This window comes from Homo sapiens, chromosome 10, assembly GCF_000001405.40.
Source record: "Homo sapiens chromosome 10, GRCh38.p14 Primary Assembly".
NCBI classification, from domain to species: Eukaryota; Metazoa; Chordata; class Mammalia; order Primates; family Hominidae; genus Homo; species Homo sapiens.
In genome coordinates this window covers 33,044,794-33,067,614 of record NC_000010.11, presented here as the reverse complement: position 1 = coordinate 33,067,614, position 22,821 = coordinate 33,044,794, and the positions used below count along the sequence as shown (strand labels likewise).

General features: G+C 43.8%; 1 long non-coding RNA gene and 1 pseudogene across 1 annotated transcript in view, besides 1 other annotated feature; one reads left to right on the top strand and one right to left on the bottom strand.

Moving 5' to 3' along the window:
* The window catches only part of ITGB1-DT (ITGB1 divergent transcript), a 99,552-nt gene that overhangs the window by 14,488 nt on the left and 62,243 nt on the right, over nucleotides 1–22,821 (bottom strand). The window lies entirely within an intron of this gene.
* Nucleotides 9,183–10,060, top strand: RPL7AP53 (ribosomal protein L7a pseudogene 53; annotated as a pseudogene).
* Nucleotides 17,770–18,270: an enhancer, noted in NCBI's record as "H3K27ac-H3K4me1 hESC enhancer chr10:33338273-33338773 (GRCh37/hg19 assembly coordinates)". NCBI's record gives its function as "activates a minimal SCP1, AML or CMV promoter by ChIP-STARR-seq in naive H9 embryonic stem cells {active_cell/tissue: H9 hESC(naive)}" and the evidence as "EXISTENCE:reporter gene assay evidence [ECO:0000049][PMID:30033119]".

The window sequence follows — 22,821 nt, the reverse complement described above, 5'->3', positions numbered from 1 at the left end:
TCCTAAATTAAACAGCTTCTCTTCTCTCTGCCTCAAAGTCTCCCCTGATCCATAGCCTAGATCTGATATTTTAGAATAGATTCTAGTGTTCATAGGATTATTTGGGTGAAATAATTACCTAGAGCTCCTCAGAGTTAAAAAGCTTCACATCTACAAATACAGACTCAATACCTAAGAAGTTAAATTTAGTCAAATAGCATTGCTTTGTAAAACCAAGAGAGATTTATCATTATAAAGGAGGAATTCTCTTTGAACCAAAATGTTGGTGACCATTAAAAACATGGTGGGACAAAAGGTAGAGATCCCATCCACCTGTAAGTCAGTGATTCTCAACCACAGGCAATTTTGTCCCCCCAAGGACACTTGGTAATGTCTGGAGGCATTTTTGGTCATCACAACAGGGAGATGCTACTGGAATCCACTGGGCCGAAGGCAGGGATGTGACTCAACATTCTACATTGCCCAAGACAGCTCCTAAAACAAAGAATTTCATGTCAAGCGCCAGCGTTGAAAAACCCTGTCATAAATCATAGGGCTGTTTTTCTAAAAGGTCAACCGGACTTGCTAAGATTAAATGAGAACTGGGTGACATTAGAGATAAGAAGCAACAACAGAGACACTCAAGAAAGCCAGGAGCAGAAGCTAGAGGGCACTGCAGTGAAGGAACGAGAACTGTGGATTTTTTGGGTAGTCTGACACTTGGGAAAGGGAAAGGGAGCTCATACTGAGGACAAATGTGGCAGACACTGTTGGTTTGTACCAGAATTAATTCTTCCCATCTTTCAAAGTGATATGATTAGAGCTGGGCATATCACTGCCCAAGGCCACACTGCATATCCTGGCTACCTGGCAGCTGAGTATGACCACGTGACTAAGTTCTCATCAATGAAGGGTGAGCTGATGTCATGTATGCAACTTCCACCCTGAAAGGAAATTGCTGCCCTTCTTCCTAGTGAGCTGAAACACGGACTAACCCATAACAAAGCCTCGGCCAGCAAACTCTACTAAAGATGTAGAAAGTGGCTGGGTGTGGTGGCTCACGCCTGTAATCACAGCACTTTAGGAGGCCGAGGTGGGCGGATCACCTGTGGTTGGGTGTTTGAGACCAGCCTGGCCAACATGGTGAAACCCTGTCTCTACTGAAAATACAAAAATTAGCCAGACGTGGTGACACGTACCGGTAGTCCCAGCTACCTGGGAGGCTGAGGTGGGAGAATGACTTGAACCTGGGAGGCAGAGGTTGCAGTGAGCCGAGATCATGCAACTGCACTCCAGCCTGGGCCACAGAGCAAGACCCTGTCTCAAAAAATAAAAAATAATAAATAATAAAAGTTGCAGATAGTAAATACTTTTGGCTTTGGGGTCCATTTGGTTTGTTGCAACTACTCAACTCTACCTGTTAAAGCAACTGTAGACAGTATGTTAACAAATGAGTGTGGCTGGGTGCCAATAAAACTTTATTTGCAAAAACAATCTGGGAGCCATCATTTGTATATCTCTTCCCTAGGAAACGACAGAAGAACAAGATGAAAGGATCATGGTCCCTGATAAACTTAATAAAGTGAGATACCCCACCAACTCAAATCATTGTTATTAACATGAGACAAAAATGAACATCTCTATTTTTTTTTTTTTTTTTGAGATGGAGTTTTGTTCTTCTTGCCCAGGCTGGAGTGCAATGGCACGATCTCGGCTCACTGCAACCTCCGACTCCCGGGTTCAAGTGATTCTCCTGCCTTAGCCTCCCAAGTAGATGGGATTACAGGCATGTGCCACCATGCCCGGCTAATTTTTGTATTTTTAGTAGAGACGGGGTTTCACCATGTTGGCCAGGCTAGTCTCGAACTCCTGACCTCAGGTGATCCACCTGCCTCGGCCTCCCGAAGTGCTGGGATTACAGGTGTGAGCCACCATGTCTGGTCCTCTATTTCTTAAATGCTGTAGCTTTGGGAGTCTTTGTTATAGCTACTTAATCAAACAGACTATAATTTTCAGACTGAGTTAGGCACCTTACATATTTTTTCATTTTAATCTCTATAAAAGCATTGTTAAAAGAAAAACCTTAGACAAATTAATTTAACAAGAGTTTAATTGAGCAAAAAACAATTAATGAACCAGGCAGCTCCAAACCAGAGTAGGCTCAGAGAGGCTCCAAAGCAGCCATGTGGTGGAAGAAGATTTATGTATAGAAAAAGGAAAGTGAAGGACAGAAAATGTAAGTGAGGTACAGAACCAACCGGAGTGGTTACAACTTGACAGTTGCCTTATTTGGACACAGTTTGAACAGTTGGCCATGTCTGATTGACCAAAACATGAATAGGTTACAGAATGTTTACACATCCAGTTAGGTTACAGTTCACTATGTACAGAGAAACCTTGAGGCCAGACTTAAAATATGTAAAGAGGCAGCTTTAGGCTAAATGTAATTTAACAAGATATTGAGATCAGTATTACCCTATTTTATAAATGGAGAATCCAAGGCTCAGGGACATTTACTGCCCTGTCCACAGTGGTAGGAAATAGCAGAGCTTGGATTTGTGGTTTGAATTCTGACCTATCTTACTTCAAGATTATGTATCTTTAAAAAAAAAAGTCATATACAAAGACATGCAAAGCACAACTATTTATGGTTTTAGGGGAAAAAGATTGATTCTGGGCTTGTTTTGCAACACTGTGCTATGTACCAGTAAACAATGGTAGGCAAATCACATGAAGAAAAGAGCACTCAGAGTTCTCCCAGTTATCAGCCCAAGTTATCTCCTAGTTATCTGGTTTGTCCTTTCAAAATCCAGCCCAATGGCTACTTCTTCCACGAAGGCTTTCCTGAGCCCTCTGTCCTCAACTCAACTCTTACAGGCCTGATAGTTTGTAAACTTTGAGGGGTATTTTGGTTTCAGAATGTATGATTATCTTTCCAGGGATGGGCAGCACCCCCCCAACTCCAGATGGACTGCAGGCTCCTCCAGAGCAGAGCCTGCCTCTTAACCTCATCAACCCCATAGTACCAAGTACTATGCCTTACACATAAAATGCTATTGCAGCTTATAGGTGGGCCACTGGTCTATGACTCTAACAAGCCCTTGTGTATTAGTTCATTTTCAGGCTGCTGACAAAGACATACCAGAGACTGAGTAATTTATAAAGGAAAAGAGGTTTAATGGACTCCCAGTTCCACATGGCTAAGGAGGCCTCACAGTCATGGCAGAAGACGAATGGCACATCTCACCAAGCGAAAGGGGTTTCTCCTTATAAAGCCATCAGATCTCATGAGACTTATTCACTACCATGAGAACAGTATGGGGGAAGCCATACCTCCATGATTCAATGATCTCCCACCGGGTCCCTGTCACAGCACGTGGGAATTATGGGAGCTACAATTCAAGATGAGATTTGGGTGGGGACACAGCCAAACCATATCAGCTGGCAAGGAAAGGAGGCCAATGAAGGACTGAGCTGTTTCGTATCTCCGTGTTCTCACCGATACTGAGCATTTACTTCATGGGAAGATTGCTCATGTGACATGCCCAAAGAGTTAATGTACTCTTTACATATAGGAATGAGGTTAGGTCAAATTGCTCCATCCTCATGTGCTTCAGAAAAGCAAAACCTGGGGGAATTCAAGCATCTCCTTTGCTCTGTTGCTGACAGAGGTCTGCCTTGTTTTCCCTTGTGACATGTTTGCATTTCACTCTCAGAGTGTGCCTACCTCAGTTTTTCATGTATAGCTGGATTTTCTATTGTTCTCATTTAATTCCTTCTCAGATTCTCCAACTGCACGTTGCCCAACAGTAATACAATACCATGCAAAGGCCACCAGGAAACATTCTCCTAGACTCAAGTGACCAGGTTCTGCTAACTTTACAATTCCTCTCCCCAAGCACCTTCCAGCAACCAGAAAAAAACCTCCAGGTCAGCTTCCTTCTCCAATCCCAAAATCTGTTTTGTGACCCTGCTGTGCACACAGAACCCCTAGAAGCTTCCTTCCTAAGTCACTATTAGCTTTCTCATCAGCCATATTTCTAAACCAAAATAACTCATCAGTGAGAAAATAATGCAAAAACTTGAGAAACATTACCAGAATCATAACTTCTACTCTCCCTTTTGAGACTGAGGATCCTCCAGGGCAGGGTCTGAGTCTCGTTCATCTATTTACAAATTTTTTAAATATGTATTTGTGGGTACATAATAGGTATGTATATTAATGAGTTACATGAGATATTTTGATGCAGGCATTCAATGTGTAATAATCACATCAGGGTCAATGGAGTATCCATCACCTCAAGCATTTATCATTTCTTTGTATTACAAACATTCTAATTACACTCTTCTGGTTTTTATTTTTTTTATTTTTTGAGACAGTCTCACTCTGTCACCCATGATGGAGTACAGTGGCACAATCTTGGCTCACTGCAACCTCCACCTTCTGGGTTCAAGTGATTCTCCTGCCTCAGCCTCCTGAGTAGTTGGGATTGCAGGTGCCCACCACCATGCCTGACTAATTTTTTTTTTTTTTTTGTATTTTTAGTAAAGACAGGGGTTTCACCATGTTGGCTAGGCTGGTCTCGAACTCTTGACCTCAGGTGATCCACCCACCTCGGCCTCCCAAAGTGCTGGGATTACAGGCATGAGCCACCATGTCCAGTTATTTTAAAATGTACAATTAAATTATTTTAGTTATTTTTAAATGTATAATTAAACAATTATTGACTATAATCAACCTATGGTGCTATCAAATAGTAGATCTTCTTCATTCTATTTTTTGTATCCATTAACCACCCCCACTTCCACTCCCAGTTCCCCACCACACTTCCCAGCCTCTGGTAGCCATTCTTCTACTCTCCATCTCCATGAGTTCAATTGTTTTAATTTTTAGCTCCCACAAATAAGTCAGAATATATGAAGCTGGTCTTTCTCTGCCTGGCTTATTTCACTTAACATAATGTCCTTCAGTTCCATCTGTGTTTTTGCAAATGACAAGATTTCCTTCCTTTTATGGCTAAATAATATTCCATTGTGTGTATGTACCACATTTTCTTTACCCATTTGACTGTTGATGGACACTTAGGTTATTTCCAAATCTTGGCTATTGTGAATAGTCCTACAGTAAACATGGGAGTGCAGATATCTCTTTGCTATACTGAATTCCTTTCTTTGGGGTATAGATCTAGCCCTATTCAGCTTTATACCCCTAATGTCTAGCCTTTCTACATTTAGTAGTTGATCAAGAAATGTTTGTTGATCAAAATGATTTGTAGCATCCCTTGCATCAAAGGAAGACAGCTGTGCCAAGTGGGAGTGAATTCTCACTGTGAAGCCCACAGGGGGCTGGTCTTCCAAAATCAGGCACTGTCACCCCCTCCACCCCCACCCGCTGGAAGCACCTGCCTGTTACCCTTTATCAGAGTAAGAACAAATACTCTGTTGGTTATGATTCAAGATGCGAAGAGGCCATCACATGCCTTCTAATTAATTAAGGTGGATTAAATCACAGACATTAAAGATTTTGAGTGTTCTGTTATGTTAGCTTTATATTTAAAGACTCAGTGATGACCTATTCCTCTGTGTGCCATGAATCATGTGGTGAATAAGTGATTTAAGGTAACTGCTACATTATACCTGGGAGGGCCTGTCAATATGGCTTGCTATCAACTGCCACTTTATATCAAGGCTAATGGAATGAAATGTAATAGGAAATCCTGGTTTGGAGGAAAATAAAAGAGTGGTTGTTCATTGATTAAATTTACCTGAAAGTCTGACATATCCATCGACCAAATGTTGTATTTCTGAATGAGTCACGTGCTTTTAAGACCCTGCCAGTAAAATGTTGGTTGCATTTTTGACTGATCCCCAAAGCATTTGTTCACTAGGTGAATGCCTGTGATCCTAGGGACCGGGAGCTTCAGAAGCTCCAAACATGCCCAGTCAGTACTGTGGGCCTTGATCCTATCTGCTGCTGAAGACCCCAACCCAGTGGACCTAGAACACAGACCAGAAAGGCCTTGAGAATAAATTGGCCCAAAGCTCACATTCCACAGATGAGGAAACCTTTCTGCTACACTGATTAGTTTCCTATTGCTGCTGTAACAAATTACCCCCAACGTAGTGACTTTAAGCAGCACAGACATACTCTCTTCTGATTCAGGAGGTCAGAGGTCTAAAATGGAGGCCTGGCATGGTGGCTCATGCATGTAATCCCAGTACTTTGGGAGGCCACAGCAGGAAGATCACTTGAGGCCAGGAGTTTGAGACCAGCCTGGGCAAAATGGTGAAACCCCATCTCTACAAAATTAAAAAAAAAATTAGCCCGATGTGGTGGCATACACTGATGTCCCAGCTACTCGAGAGGCTGAGGCGGGCGGGGTGGCAGAATCATCTGAGGCCAGGAGTTTGAGGCTGCAGTAAGCTATGATCACACCAGTGCACTCTAGCCTGGTCAACAGAGTGAGACCCCATCTCAAAAAAAAAGTCTAAAATGGGTCTGCAAGGCTGGGTTCCTTTTGGAGTTTCCAGGGGAGTATTTCTCTCCTTTCCTTTTCCAGCTCCTAGTGACCACCTGCATCTATCAGCTCTTGCCCGCCTTTCTTCATCTTTAAAGCCAATAGGGCAGAGTCTTCTTTCCCATATGACCTCCTGTCTCTCTCGTAAGAGACCTTGTGACTACATGGGGCCTACCCAGGCAATCCAGAATCGTCTCCCCAACTCAAGATCCTTAAATGAATCCCATCTACAGAGTGTCTCTGCCACATAAGGTAACATATTCACAGGTTCCGGGGAGTAGAGTGTTGACATCTTTGGAGGACTGTTATTCAGCCAGCCATGCTGTCAAAAGAGGAAATTTTGTAAACAAGCCACTGAAAATATTTCTCTACAGCCTCGATTGACAGAAGCTCAGGTACCTTGTCAATCTCTGGCAGATGCAGTGGTGAGAGCATAGACTATGAGCGCAGGAATCAGGTGGGCTAAGTCTGAGCCTGAGGCTGCCATTCACAAGCTCTGCAGGCTTGGACCAAGCCATTTATGAATGGTTGATGCCCCAAAAGCCTCGAAACCTTGAAGGAAGTGGTAGGAAATGAGGCAAGTAGACAGAGAGTGAGAGACTTGAAGCGCACTGATGAGCTGCGTGCAGAAACGTGAGTTTCACAAAAGCAGAGATCTCCTTTGCTTTGTCTACCCCTGCGCCCTCAGTGCCTAGAATAGCGCTACCATAAAAAATGTTTGATGAACGAGTGTTCAATGTCATGAACAGGTTCATATTAAAACTGACCCTGGTGAACACTTTTACATGACTGGCGGGAATGTAAACTAGTATAACCACTATGGAAAACAGTATGGAGATTCCTTGAAGAACTAAAAGTAGAACTACCATTCAATCCAGCAATCCTACTGGGTATCTACCCAAAAAAAAAGAAGTCATTATATGAAAAAGATAAATGCACATGCAAGTTTATTGCAGCACAATTCACAATTGAAAGATATGGAACCAATCTAAGTGCCCATCAACCAAATGGATGAAGAAAATGTAGTATATATACACCATGGAATACTACTCAGCCATTAAAAGGAATGAAATAATATCTTTTGCAGCAACTTGGATGGAGCTGGAAGCCATTATTCTAAGTGAAGTAACTCAGGAATGGAAAACCAAATATTGTATGTTCTCACTTATAAATGGGAGCTAAGCTATGAAGATGCAATAGCATAAGAATGATATAATGGACTTTGGGGAATCAGGTGGGAAGATGGGAGGGGATTGAAAGATAAAAGGCTACACACTGGGTATAGTGTACACTATTTGGGTGATGGGTACACCAAAATCTCAAAAATCACCCCCAAAGAATTTATTCACATAACCAAAAACCACCTGTACCCCAAAAACTATTGAAATAAAAATAAAAAGTAAAATAAAATTGACCCTGGCATAGAGTTGGGTCCAATAAATATTTGTAGTAAATAATACAATACATGAACTCTAGTGGAGATGTGGTTTAGTGGCTTTTATTATTTCCTTCTCAAAAAGGGTTGCAAACTCCAATGCATATGGTGCCGGGAGGCTGAGAGAGAGAATGTGTAGCTGCTCTAAAATGCACAGAGACCAGTCAGCCCCTGATTATTCTTGCCACTGAGAATTTGGGCTCAGTGCAGCCAGATTTTCTGATATTTTTATTTAAAGAGACACCCCAAATCCAGATTTTCATAGCAGATCATTGGTGTTTAAACATTGTCTCAAATTGTTTTAAACATCGTTTGTTAGGGCCAGCTGAAATGTCTGCCAGCCAAATTCAGACCAAGGCCCTCACTTTGCTACGCCTCTTCTTCCACCTTCCTTAATTTCCAGGGCAGTGAGGGTTTGATAATGAGACAGCCTTGAATGGCTTGTTGATCAGAATTTAAAAAGGGAAGAAGAGAAGGGTCTCCCACACACATAAAAAAGCGCAGCCTAATAAGATTCCCATGTGGGCCCCCTCCTAAAAAAGAAATCGAGATCAGAGAGATAATTCGCTGCCAATCAGACCACAGCAACCAGAAATGCGGCCTTCTCTTTGTGAGGCTTGAGGTGTTGCTGATAAATTAAGCAGGGCCCAAGGACAGTCCCAGATTCTAGAACCCCACTCAAGTCCTCGGATTGCAATTACAAGGTAAGAAACACCACTTAGACCCCGTTGCAGAGTACTATCTTCATAACTGAGGTGCACATACTTGTCCATGGATGTCTTTTATTTAAGCATGGATTATTTACTTCCTCGGATTTTTTTATGACAAAGCATCACTGATCCCCCTGTCTGGGCAGCAGCATTTCTTATCCAGCATCACTGGGCAGGCTCTCAGATGTGCAGGCTCAGGCTCAGCATGTAGCAGCTGCTCTAGCAGGTTAAAGCTGAAGGGGATGGAAGTTGAGACTGGATGAGCTCCCTGAGAGCTCACGCCTCAGGATGGAAAGGTGAAAAGTTCCAGGTGGAGTCTTATCTGTTCTGGCAATTATGCAGTGATCGTGGAAGAGTCAGTGACCCTTTCTGGGTCTCAGTTTCCAAATCTGTAGACTAAGGGAGCTGCCAGGTATGGTTGTTACCAGAAGGGTGTCCTGATCCAGACCCCAAGAGAGGGTTCTTGGATCTTGCACAAGAAAGAATTTGGGGCGAGTCCATAAAGTGAAAGTAAGTTTATTTAGAAAGTAAAGGAATAGCTCTCTCTCCTCCTGCCATTCAAGATGCCGAAAGGAAAGAAGGCCAAGGGGAAGAAGGTGGTTCCGGCCCCTGCTGGCATGAAGAAACAGGAGGCCAAGAAAGTGGTGAATCCCCTGTTTGAGAAAAGGCCTGAGAATTTTGGCATTGGACAGGACATCCAGCCTAAAAGAGAACTCACCCACTTTGTGAAATGGCCCCGCTATATCAGGTTGCAGCGGCAGAGAGCCACCCTCTATAAACGGCTGAAAGTGCCTCCTGTGATTAACCAGTTTACCCAGGCCCTGGACTGCCAAACAGCTACTCAGCTGCTTAAGCTGGCCCACAAGTACAGACCAGATCCAAAGCAAGAGAAGAAGCAGAGGCTGTTGGCCTGGGCCGAGAAGAAAACTGCTGGCAAAGGGGACATCCCCACTAAGAGACCACATGTCCTTCGAGCAGGAATTGACACCGTCACCACCTTGGTGGAGAACAAGAAAGCTCAGCTAGTGGTGATAGCACACAACGTGGATCCCATCGGGCTGGTTATCTTCTTGCCTGCCCTGTGTCGTAAAATGGGGGTCCCTTACTGCATTATCAAGGGGAAGGCAAGACTGGGCCGTCTAGTGCACAGGAAGACCTGCACCACTGTCGCCCTCACACAGGTGCACTTGGAAGATAAAGGCGGTTTAGCTAAGCTGGTGGAAGCTATCAGGACCAATTACAATGACAGATATGATGAGATCCGCCGTCACTGGGGTGGCAATGTCCTGGGTCCCAAGTCTGTGGCTCGCATCGCCAAGCTTGAAAAGGCAAAGGCTAAATAACTTGCCACTAAACTGGGTTAAATGTACACTGTTGAGTTTTACACACATGAAAATAATTAAAATAATACAAATTTTAAAAAGAAAAAAAGAAAGTAAAGGGATGAAGAATAGTTACTTCATAGGGCAGAGCAGTGGTGTGGGCCACTCAGCTGCTTGTACTGATAGTTATTTCTTGATTGTATGCTAAACAAGAGGTGGATTATTCATAAGTTTTCTGGGAAAGAGGTGGGCAATTCCTGGAACTGAGGAATTCCTCTCCCTTTTAGATCGTATAGGGTAACTTCCTGATGTTGCCTTGGCATTTGTAAACTGCCATGGTGCTGGTGGGAGTGTCTCTTAGCATGCTAATGCATTATAACTAGCATATAATGTGCAGTGAGGACGACCAGAGGTCATTCTCATTGCCATCTTAGTTTTGATGGGTTCTGGTCACTTCTTTACCACAACCTACTTTAACAGCAAGGTCTTTATAACCCGTATCTTGTGTTGACCTCCTACCTCATCCTGTGACTTAGAATGCCCTAACCTCCTAGGAATGCAGCCCAGTAGGTCTCAGCCTTATTTCACCCAGCCCTATTCAAGATGGAGTCACTCTGGTTTGAATGCCTCTGACATGGTGACTCAAGCCTACAGTCCCAGCTACTTGGGAGGCTGAGGTAGGAGGATCACTTGAGCTCAAGGGTTTGAGGCTGCAGTGAGCCATAATATACCACTGCACTTCAGCCTGGGTGACAGAACGAGAATCCCACTAAAAAGAAAAGAAGAAAGAAAAAAGAAGGAAGAATTTAAAAAAAAAGGAAGGAGAAGAAGGAAGAAGAGAGCTGGCTGTGAAATGGCTTGCAGGTCCTCCCTGATGTGGCAGTCTCTGATTCTGTGACTCCATCTCCCTTCGTGATACCATCCACTTCCTCTGGTGTCACATAGGACTTCAGTGATGCCCATCAGCATCTGCCAGGCATAGAAGCAACAGGGCATGCAAAGATCCAAGAGAGGGGATAATAGAGCCTGCTTCCTCCACATTTCCCTTGACCAGATCAAGCTGATCGACAGCAACTTTGGTACCAAATCTCCTAGCCAGTGTGCCCACTTATTCATACCATGACCTTGCAGGAAGCCAAAAAATTTCACCCCAAAATATATTTCTTTGACATATTTCAAGATGGCTATTCAGAAGGGCTGGAAATAGAAGAGTAGCTAAGAAGCTGTCTTTTGCAGAGAAATTTGCATCTGTAGAGAAAGCCCGCATCCCTGCAGCCAGGCTTTCTGAGGTCCTCCCTGGTCCAGATCTAGGAAAGATGAACTGAGAGTCTGACATCTCTCAAGATCTGAAAGGAACATTTCCCACCTTTTCTCTCTGAGGGCTGCTACCCATGAGGTTTCACCTACATGACAAGACCACCTTTGCTAGCCAGGCGTCCTCTTCTCTCCCTTCCATAACCTGTTTTGCCACTGTAACCTGATTTACCACCATAACCTGTTCTGGGCTGGGTTCTGGGCCCCCATTCTTTGTGTAACCTCAAGATGGTATAAAAGCATCAACCATCTGGCCATTTCTTTGAGATCTTATATTATGTCAGACTCCCATGCATATCAGTAAACTTATATACTTTTTCTCCTACTAATTTGCTTTTTGTCAGTTGATTTTTAGAGAACCTTCAGAGGGTGGAAGGGAAGTATTCCTACAACCTCATATCCACCTCTGTCCATTTGAAGAAAATTGTTCTGAACAATTCTGGGAAGAATGCTGAGAAAGAGATTATTTTTGACCACAGACCAACTCAAATATCTTTCTTCTTAATCCTCTGAATAAATGATTCATGGAATGCATGCATTTTGAGGAATTGAATGCTTTTCAGTTGTTTTCCTGGAACTTTCCATTTCTGAACAGTAATAAATATACCCAGACATATAGCTGAGTGACTATCAGAATGTCCCATGTGTCTGTTACATTTGCTCCAGAAAAATTCATTAATAAATAAACATATTCCATAAACATGCCAGATAAAACAAAGGTAATGAGATTCACTTTTAACAAGTCAATATTGAGAATAACAAATGATGACTTTTTTAGGGGATTTTCCTGTAAGTTTCCTGAAAGCCCCATAAATCTTTTCCTTCACCTACTTCTATCCATGACTATTTTCTCCTGATTAAAAATTTACCATCCCACAATTAAAAATCCAATCAATTACACAATTACAAGAAAATGATAAGAATGTGGAAAATGGCAAAGAAACATGGGAGTGAGTCTTCTGATTGCTCAAATTCTCTTAATGCCCCAAATGAACCAAGGCTGCTACCCAATGTATTTTCTCAGGGGGATTGGAGTGTAGGTGGGATTGGCAGCCAGGGTCAAGTGTGATTTGAATATTATCATTATTATTATTATTATTATTGAGACAGTCTCACTCTGTCACCCAGGCTGGAGTGCAGTGACATGATCATAGCTCACTGTAGCCTTGAACTCTTGGGCTCAAAGGATGCTCCTGTCTCAGCCTCCCCAGTAACTAGGACTACAAGCACATACCACAATGCCAGCTATCTTTTTATTTTTAATTTTTGTAGAGACAGTGTCTCACTATGTTGCCCAGGCTGATCTCAAACTCCTGACCTCAAGCAATCCTCCCACCTCAGCCTCCCAAAGCACTAAGATTATAGATGTCAGCCCCTGCACATGGCCCAATTTGAAGAATATTAAAAGTGTATTGTGCTGAAATGGCTTTCCCCACTGTCACTGGGTTCTGTGACTTCCATTCTGATGGTGTCCTGCACATAGTAAGGACTCGAATGAATGAGTTAAGTCTTGATTGGCCAAGGTACAGGGTCACATTTGTTTTGTACGATAAGGTTTGCAAAAGTCCAAGGTAGAGAAGAGTATCCCACTAGGCTTTCTCAGCTTAACGAAAATACTCCCTAAGCTTAAAATGGTATTATGGAAAGGAGATTTGGAATCTTATAGACCTGGTTGAAGCCTAGCCCCACACTTGCAAACCAGTTTCATGATCTTGAACAAGATCTTAATATCCCTGAGTCTCAGTTTTACATTCATCTTCAAGTAGCTGTAATAAGGTCTAATTCACAGAATGGTTAGGGGTAGAATAAAATAACCTATCTAAATTACCTAGAGCAGCAATGAAGATAGCAGATAATCAGTAAATATTTAGGTTTTTCTCCCAACCCATCTCTACCCACCAATCCTTCGGCTTTAATTACTTTTATTTTAATTCAGCTTTTCCATGTAACCAAAGCAGGAAAAAATGTCTAACAAACTATTCAAAATATTTTTTCTCATTATTAAGTACATTACATAGTGATTTATCAATCAAAGTTGTATTATTATTTGTTTTTGGAACTTAATGGTTAGAATCTGAAAAAAAGAAGAACCATTCTGAGCCCACAAAGTTTTTCTCTATAAAGAGTTTGAAGGTCTGCATTCACTATTTTTGCAGACTGAACTTTGTTTTAAGGAAATCCTTTGCTTGTATGGATTTGAAAGAAAACACTGCAAGATTGTCCCTGCTGCTTTGGAGTGACCATTGACCTGAATGCAATATTTCACATTGAGGAGAAATTTGGTTGAAGAATTAGAACATTGCTAGACTTAATTGAGCTAAAGCCATTTAAGAATCTCTTGCCAAAAAAAGAATGTCTTGCCTTTTGATGGTGGTGGGGGTGATAGTCTCTGGGGAGAGTAATGGAGTGTTCTTAGCTCTGTGTGACTCTAGAGGGCCTTCTGCACACTGATGCTTGTGCTCTGGAAACTGTTGGTGGAAAATCTGGATTGGAGAGATGGCAGGAGAAAGGACCTGTGTTTCTTTCTAGAAGATTCTTCACACCAGAGCAGAGATGGTGGAAAATACTGGCTTGAGCTTGGCACAGACCAACACAGACTAGTGTATCAATTCTCCTAAGTGATGTTATCAATGAATAAACGACTCAGAACATACTGATATCAGACCATTATGTTCCAAAGATATTATCCTGCTGGAGACACAGAGCAAGGTCATTACCCTGTGTGTAGGAGTGGGTTCCTCCGGAGGGAAGTAGATACTTCCATTGTTAATTCTTGAAGGAAATGGTAGATTATGGAACAGGAACCCAGGGCAATTGGGTGTGGGACTTATGCTGAGCTTCCGGCAAAATGTTTCTTCTCTTTCTGCGGCTCATGACATCCTGGCATCAACTGTCCTGTGAGCCATCCATGGAAGAAGGTCTCTTCTGAAGCCACAATGGAGGTAGCTTAGGTAGATGCAGTGAAGAATCGCTGTGCCCAGGGCAGCCGTCAGTAGTAACAGAGCTGATGGGACAATGGCTCAGAGAGGAGGCAGTGCTACAAACACAAGGACCTAGTGGAGAGCACACCACAGACATGTCGCACTAGGGGGCTGCCTTGGGAGAGGCAACTGTTCTTCCTGGTAAGGGGAGGTTCAAGCCAATGTCAGATAATAAAGGAAATCTAATCACATCGTATATTCATAGGCTTCTTAGGTTTTAATATTTTGTTTACAGATGAATCATTTCCCTAAGCCTGCTCGTCTCAATTGACCTGGTTAAAATTGTTTCCAAACCCAGCAATTCTAAAGAGCAGAACTTGATCAGAATGGAAACTTTCTGGACTTGCTCACTAAAACTAAGACCCTCATCTCAGCCCACCCAGTGAGCATACCTGGAGTTTTTGTTATTTCTTTCAAAAGACTCCCCCAGCCACCCCATCCTGCCTTTTAACAGAAAGGAAAAAAAATGTGTGTTGATTCAGCCCCGCCATACTGGTATTTATGCACCAGAGACAAATTATGTCTTCATTATAAATTCAGTTCTGAATTATGCTTCACTAGCAAAACGCTCTGTATTATATTCATAGAAGAAGACTGTGTGATCTCCCAACCTCAGCTCAGATGGAAAGAACACTTCTGTGCGGCTGCTCACCCTAACCTGATCACATTTCCAGACGCCACCCCAGCAAATTAAGCGGATGCTAAAATCACTTAGAAGCGTGTCTAATGCACAGGATAAACATGAGCTACTGGAAAGAGGTATAGGATCAGTAACACAAAAGAAAAAAGGAAAGAAAGCATAGCCCATTTGGAACAGAGGGAAGAAATCACATACCACTTGACAAGGAAAATTGCTGCATTTCACCAAGGCAGGTGCACCAGGCATGTTTGTATATTAAATCATTACCAGGAATTAAAGAGCCCATGTAAGAAGGCAATGTTACAAATCGATTCACACTCTATTTATAATTCTTTAACAATGTTTGAGTTCTGCAGTCAGAAAAATAGATCATGGGAATGGTTTGCTGAAAAAAATTAAACACACAGTATTTATTTCTCTCTGCTGAATGAAGTGCTGTAACCACCATTTATATTTTTTCCAATGCCATAAAAATGTCTTTATTGTTATGCACAACACTATATAAAACATGGTGCAAAGAGGATTCTTGCTTACTCAGGCTTGAGAGTAGAGGAAACAGCCAAAGGAATGGAAATCAGGGCTCCTAGAAACCACATTCTCAGGCCCCATCCAAGAGTCTGAGAGGGAAGACCAAGGTAGTCAGCCTAACAGCCTTCAACCTCACCCTGAAACTGGGAGCAGTTTCCCTTGAAACTGGGAAAGAGAGAAATGTTTCAGTTGTCCTTAGAGTTCGTTTCCGGAGAGCCAGGCCTGAGTCTTGCAAATGGAAGTGAGAAGGAAAGTGACAGAAATCAAAATATCTCACCACAAAATCGGTTCCCTGGCATCATGAGTATTTTATACTAAAAATCCATAGAGACCGTCAAGTGCTGGAAGAGACTTTTGCCTTATCTACATAAAGATGGGATTGGCTGGGTGCGCTAGCTCATGCCTGTAATTACACACTTTGGGAAGACAAGGCAAGAAGATCACTTGAACCCAGAGGTTCAAGACCAGCCTGGGCAACATGACAGGGAAAAGAAAGAGAGAGATAGGACTGACCCACCAACGAGAACAATTGTTCTTGTTCTCCTTCTTGTTAATGCATTATCCATTACAGGAAAGAAGACCATTTTTCAAGACAATGACTGTCTCAAATGATCATTTAAATTCCAAAAAGAACATTTGCAAGTTAATATCTGTTTCTCCCCACTTCCAATAGCCAAAGCAATCTTAGGCAAAAAGAACAAAGCCAGAGGAATAAGGATATAGTAACCAAAACAGCATGGTACTGATATGAAAGTAAGACACCTAGACCAATGAAACACAATAAAGAACCCAGAATTAGAGCCAAATACCTGGAAGCCACCAATCTTCAACAAAGCAGATGAAAACATACACTGGGGAAAGGACACCCTATACAATAAATGGTGCTGGGAAAATTGGATAACCACAGGTAGAACAATGAAACTGGATCTCTATCGCTCACCATATATAAAAATTAACTTGAGATGAATTAAAGACTTTAAGACCTGAAACCACAAAAATCCTAGAAGATAAAGTAGGGAAAACTCTTCTGGACATCGTCCTAAGCTAAAAATGTATGACCAAGATCCCGAAAGCAAATGCAACAAAAAGAAAATTAGTGGGACCTAATTAAATTAAGCTTCTGCACAGCAAAAGAAATAATCAGCAGAGTAAATAGACATCCCACAGAATGGGAGAAAATATTTACAAACTATACACGCAACAAAGGACTAATATTCAGAATCTACAAGCAACTCAAACAAATCAGCAAGATAAAAAAAATCCTATTAAAAAGTTGTCAAATGACATGAACAGACATTTCCCAAAAGACACACAAATGGCCAAAAAACATGAAAAGGTGTTCAACATCACTAATCATCAGGGAAATGCAAATTAAAGCCACAATGAGATACCACCTTAACCCAGCCAGAATGGCCATTATCAAAAAGTCAAAAAACAATAGATGTTGGTGCAGATGCAGGGAAAAGGAAACACTTAGACACTGTTGGGGTTGCTACAACTGTGTCCGGAATTGGTGGGTTCTTGGTCTCACTGACTTCAAGAATGAAGCTGCGGACTCTCGCGGTGAGTGTTACAGTTCTTAAGGTGGCGCGCCTGGAGTCTGTCTCTTCTGATGTTCAGATGTGTTTGGAGTTTTTCTTCTGGTGGGTTCGTGGTCTCGCTGGCTCAGGAGTGAAGCCGCGGACCTTCGCAGTGAGCGTTACAGCTCTTAAGGTAGCGCGTCTGGAGTTGTTCTTTCCTCCCTGTGGGCTCGTGGTCTCGCTGAGCTCAGGAGTGAAGCTGCAGATCTTCGCGGTGAGTGTTACAGCTCTTAAGGTGGTGCGTCTGGAGTTGCTCGTTTCTCCTGGTGGGCTCGTGGTCTCGCTGGCTTCAGGAGTGAAGCTGCAGACTTTCGTGGTGAGTGTTACAGCTCATAAAAGCAGCGTGGACCCAAAGATTGAGTAGTAGCAAGATTTATTGCAAAAAGCGAAACAACAAAGCTCCCACAGTGTGGAAGGGGACCCGAGCGAGTTGCCAATGCTGGCTCCCGCAGCCTGCTTTTATTTTATCTGGCCCCACCCACATCCTGCTGATTGGTAGAGCCCAGTGGCCTGTTTTGTCCGGGCGCTGATTGGTGCGTTTACAATCCCTGAGCTAGATACAAAGGTTCTCCACGTCCCTATCGGATTAGTTAGATACAGAGTTTCCACACACAGGTTTTCCAAGGCCCCACCAGAGCAGCTAGATACAGAGTGTTGATTGGTGCACTAACAAACCTTGAGCTAAACACAGGGTGCTGATTGGTGTGTTTACAAACCTTGAGCTACATACAGAGTGCCGACTGGTGTATTTACAATCCTTGAGCTAGACATAAAGGTTCTCCACGTCCTCACCAGAGCAGCTAGATACAGAGTGTCAATTGGTGCACTCACAAACCTTGAGCTAAACACAGGGTGCTGATTGGTGTATTTACAATCCCTGAGCTAGATATAACGACTCTCCACGTCCCCACCAGACTCAGGAGCCCAGCTGGCTTCACCTAGCGGATCCCGCACCGGGGCTGCAGGTGGAGCTGCCTGCCAGTCCTGCGCCCTGTGCTCGCATTCCTCAGCCCTTGGGTGGTCGATGGGACTGGGCGCCCTGGAGCAGGTGGTGGCGCTCGTCGGGGAGGCTCGGGCCGCACAGGAGCCCACGGAGGGGGTGGGAGGCTCAGGCATGGTGGGCTGCAGGTCCCGAGCCCTGCCCCGCGGGAAGGCAGCCAAGGCCCGGCGAGAAATCGAGCGCAGCGCCGGTGGGCCGGCACTGCTGGGGGACCCAGTACACCCTCCGCAGCCACTGGCCCGGGTGCTAAGTCCCCCATTGCCCGGGGCCAGCAGGGCTGGCTGGCTGCTCCGAGTGCGGGGCCCACCAAGCCCACGCCCACCCGGAACTCCAGCTGGCCCGCAAGTGCCGCACACAGCTCCGGTTCCCGCTCTTGTCTCTCCCGCCACACCTCCCTGCAAGCTGAGGGAGTGGGCTCCGGCCTTGGCCAGCCCAGAAAGGGGCTCCCACAGTGCAGTGGGGGACTGAAGGGCTCCTCAAATGCCACCAAAATGGGAGCCCAGGCAGGGGAGGTGCTGAGAGCAAGCGAGGGCTCTGAGGACTGCCAGCACGCTGTCACCTCTCACAACCTTTATGGAAAACAGTTTGGAAATTTCTCAAAGAACTCAAAATAGATCTACCATTCGATCCAGCAATCCACTACTGGGTATCTACCCAAAAGAAAATTAGTCATGATACAAGAAAGACACCTGAATGCATGTTCATCACAGCACAATTCACAATTGCAAAGATATGGAGTCAACCTAAGTGCCCGTCAACTGATAAGTGGATAAAGAGTATGTGTGAGAGACAGAGAGAGAGAGAGAGATTTATATATATATATACACACACACACATATATCACATACACAGATTGTGATATACATATATCACAATCTCTCCATATATATATATACACACACATATATCACATACACAGATTGTGATATACATATATCACAATCTCTCCATATACACACACACACACACACACACACACACACAGACACACACCATGGAACAGTACTCAGCCATAAAAAAAATAAATAATGCTTTTTGCAGCAACTTAAATGGAACCAGAGGCCACTATCCTAAGTGAAGTAACTCAGGAATGGAAAACCAAATACTGCATATTCTCACTTTAAGAGGGAGCTAAACTATGGGTACACAAATGACACAGGAGGCGGGGCAGAGAAGTGCTGGGAGAAGAAGGGTGGGGTCCCTGATGAGGGCTCCACCCCTAGGCCTGTGCGCACACACCTAGGTGAGGACAGGCATTTCTGTTTTCATGCCAAAATGTTGCATTTCCCAAGACCACCCTGGCCCGCCACACCTCCATCCTGTGCCTATAAAAACCCCAAGTCCCTGTTGGGAAGAATACACAAGCAGCCGGACATCGAGAGGAACACAGTGGCAGAACAGCACACCGACAGGTACCAGCAGACTCCAGCAGGCCATGGACTGGCAGAACGACACACAGGAATGGCTCACAAAAGGATGGAGGTGCCATTCCTGTGTGTCTGCAAACCCCTCCCCACCACTCAGAAAACTGGAAGCTGAACTACTGGCTCTGGCTCTCATCACCTTTGGAGGACCCCACAGAAATTCCTGTTCTTTAGCAAAGGGTTCACCTGAGACAGATGTCTCTATAATGTCACAGACAAAACATCTTCATTTTCTTCCCACAGCTTTGGGAGACTTGTTAGAGCTCTATATACCATGAGGCTAGAGCTAAGTTTTCTCACCACTTATGGAGAGAGTGAAAGAATCTCTGCAGTGGTAAGTCATCCCCACCTTGAGGAAAGGCATGGATACTGAAGGAAACCAAAATACTTCACTCCAAAGCCTACTTCTTTGACATATTTCAAGATGGCAATTCAGAAGGGCTGGAAATAGAAGAGTAGCTAAGAAGCTGTCTTTTGCGGGGAGCTTTGCCTCTATAGAGAAAATCTGATTCATGCAGCCATGCATTCTCTGAGGCCCACCCTTGTCCGGATCTAGGAAAGATGAACTGAGAGTCTGACATCTCTAAAGATCTAAAAGAAACATATACCATTTCTTCTCTCTGAGGGCTGCTACCCCTTGAGGTTTCATCTACATAACAAGGCCACCTTTGCTAGCCATCCACCCTCTTCTCTCCCTTCCATAACTTGTCTTGCCACCGTCACATGATTTACGACCATAACCTGTTTGTGGCCATGCTCTGAGCCCACATTCTTTGCGTAACCTCATAGCTAATGCATGCGGGGCTTAGTACCCAGGTGATGGGTTGATAGGTGCCACAAACCACCATGGCACACGTTTACATATGGAACAAACCTGCATTCCTGCACATGTATCCCAGAACTTAAAATTAAATTAAATTTAAAAAAAGAGGGAGAAAAGCTTCTGAGCCTCACTGAGGGGATGGGGTCATCTGTGTTGTCCCCCATGCATATTATTAATAATAAATTTGCACGCCTTCTTTCTTATTAACCTGCCTTTTGTCAGTTGGTTTTTCAGTAAAACTTCCAGAAGGCAAAGAGAAAATTTTCCCTTGGCCTCTATAACACCAGCTAACCAGAAGTAGGCTTTGGGGAAAGCGTGTGCTTTGAGTCACCCAGAACCATCAGTGACACTTTCATTACCCTTACCCAGGCCTCTGCAGCATGTGACACTGGGTACCTACCACAGCCATGCGATTTCCTCAGTGCTGGGTGAACCTAAGGGAGGAAGACTTAACCTCTGCCCTCCAGGAGCACACAGATCTTTATTATTTTTTTAATTTATTTTAATTTATTTATTTATTTTGAGACGGAGTCTTGTGGTCACCCAGGCTGCAGTGCAGTGGCACAATCTTGGGTCACTGCACCTCTGCCTCCCGGGTTCAAGCTATTCTCCTTCCTCAGCCTCCCAAGTAGCTAGGACTACAAGGTGTGCACCACCATGCCTGGCTAAATTTTGTATTTTAGTGGAGACAGGGTTTTGCCTTTTTCTTTTCCTTTCCTTTTTTTTTTTTTTGAGACGGAGTCCTGCTCTGTTGCCCAGGCTGGAGTGCAGTGGCACGATCTCGGCTCACTGTAGCCACTGCTTCCCAGGTTCAAGCAATTCTCCTGCCTCAGCCTCCCGAGTAGCTGGGACTACAGACGCACGCCACCACACCCAGCTATTTTTTTTTTAAATATTTTTAGTAGAGACGGGGTTTCACCATGTTGGCCAAGCTGATCTTGATCTCCTGACCTCGTGATTTGTCCGCCTCAGCCTCCCAAAGTGCTGGGATTACAGGCCTGAGCCACTGCGCCTGGCCGGGTTTTGCCATTTTGCCCAGCTGGTCTCAAACTCCTGACCTCAAGTGATCCACCCACCTTGGCCTCTCAAAGTGTTGGGATTACAGGCGTAAACCACTGTGCCTGGCCCAGGAGCTCACAGATTGCAAAATAAGTGGAAAGCATTGTGAAATTAAGTAATCTGAATTTAAAGCTGTTGGATGTTAGGATTTTTTTTTTCTTTTTTTTTTTTTTTTTTTGAGACAGGGTCTCGCTCTATCACCCCGACTGGAGTGCAGTGGCGCCATCTCAGCTCACTGCAACATCTGCCTCCTGGGTTCAAGCGATTCTCCCACCTCAGCTCCCTGAGTAGCTGGGATTACAGGCATGCATCATCACGCCTGGCCAATTTTTTGTATTTTTAGTAGAGACGTAGTTTTGCCATGTTGGTCATTTCGCTATGTTGGTCTCGAACTTCTGGCCTCAAGTGATCCACCTGCCTCAGCCTCTCAAAGTGCTGGGATTACAGGCATGAGCCACCATGCCTGGCCAAGCTGTTGGTACGTTAGAGTATTCTGAGCCTTGAATGAAATGTTGCTATTCACCCTGAGCCACACAGCACATAGTGAACTTCTGCCTTTTTTTTTTCTTTCTGTAAATAATTAAGACTTATTGGTAAGAATAACAAGTGGCTCCAGAGATAAGACCCACTCAGATCTTTACCTCTAGTCAGGTAGTAATAAAATAATTTTCCTTGGAATGTAGCAATCTGTAACCAATCAAATCGCTGTAACCCATGCACTAGTCTTGGGTAGAAAATGCTGTAATCCTGCTAATACTTCCCTGTGTCTGCCTGTATAAGTGAAACTTGAACTGCTTCACTTTGGAATATGGGCCCCATTCATTTAGAATCTGTGTTTTCCAGGTGGCTATCCTTAAGCTTTATGCTCAAATAAATTCCATATTTAATCATATTTTAAAATCTTATTATTTAAGGTTGACAGCATAATGCCAGTATTATCAGTGGCTAATATGGGGAAAAACTGATAATATGGGAAATTATCAGTGTCTAATAAAGGAAGAATCCCAAACCAGGAAGAGGGCGTAGCAAGTCAGGACTTCTCAAGGACAAGGGTAGTACTCGAATGCCTATCACAGTGCCCTGCATAGAATAGGAACCTACGAGGCTGGGCGTGGGGGCTCACACCTGTAATCCCAACTACTCGGGAGGCTGAGGCAGGAGAATCGCTTGAACCCGGGAGGTGGAGGTTGCAGTGAGCCAAGACAGGGCCACTGCACTCCAGCCTGGGTGACAGAGCGAGACTCTGTCTCAAAAGAAAAAATAAAAAAGAATAGGCACCTACTGTTTGCACCAAACTGCACTGAATATGCACTAAACTGACTGGGAATCTTCCCTCTGCCCAATGAATACCTCCTTTTTGCCAGCACTACCCATCTCCCCTCCATACCCTGTCTTCCAGCAATGCCCCTAACAATACAAAAGGTCTGTTTTGCAGAAGGTATTAATATTACTGGAATGTGGGTTTAGATTATCTAGGTTTAAATTCTATCTCAACCACTACCTTGCCT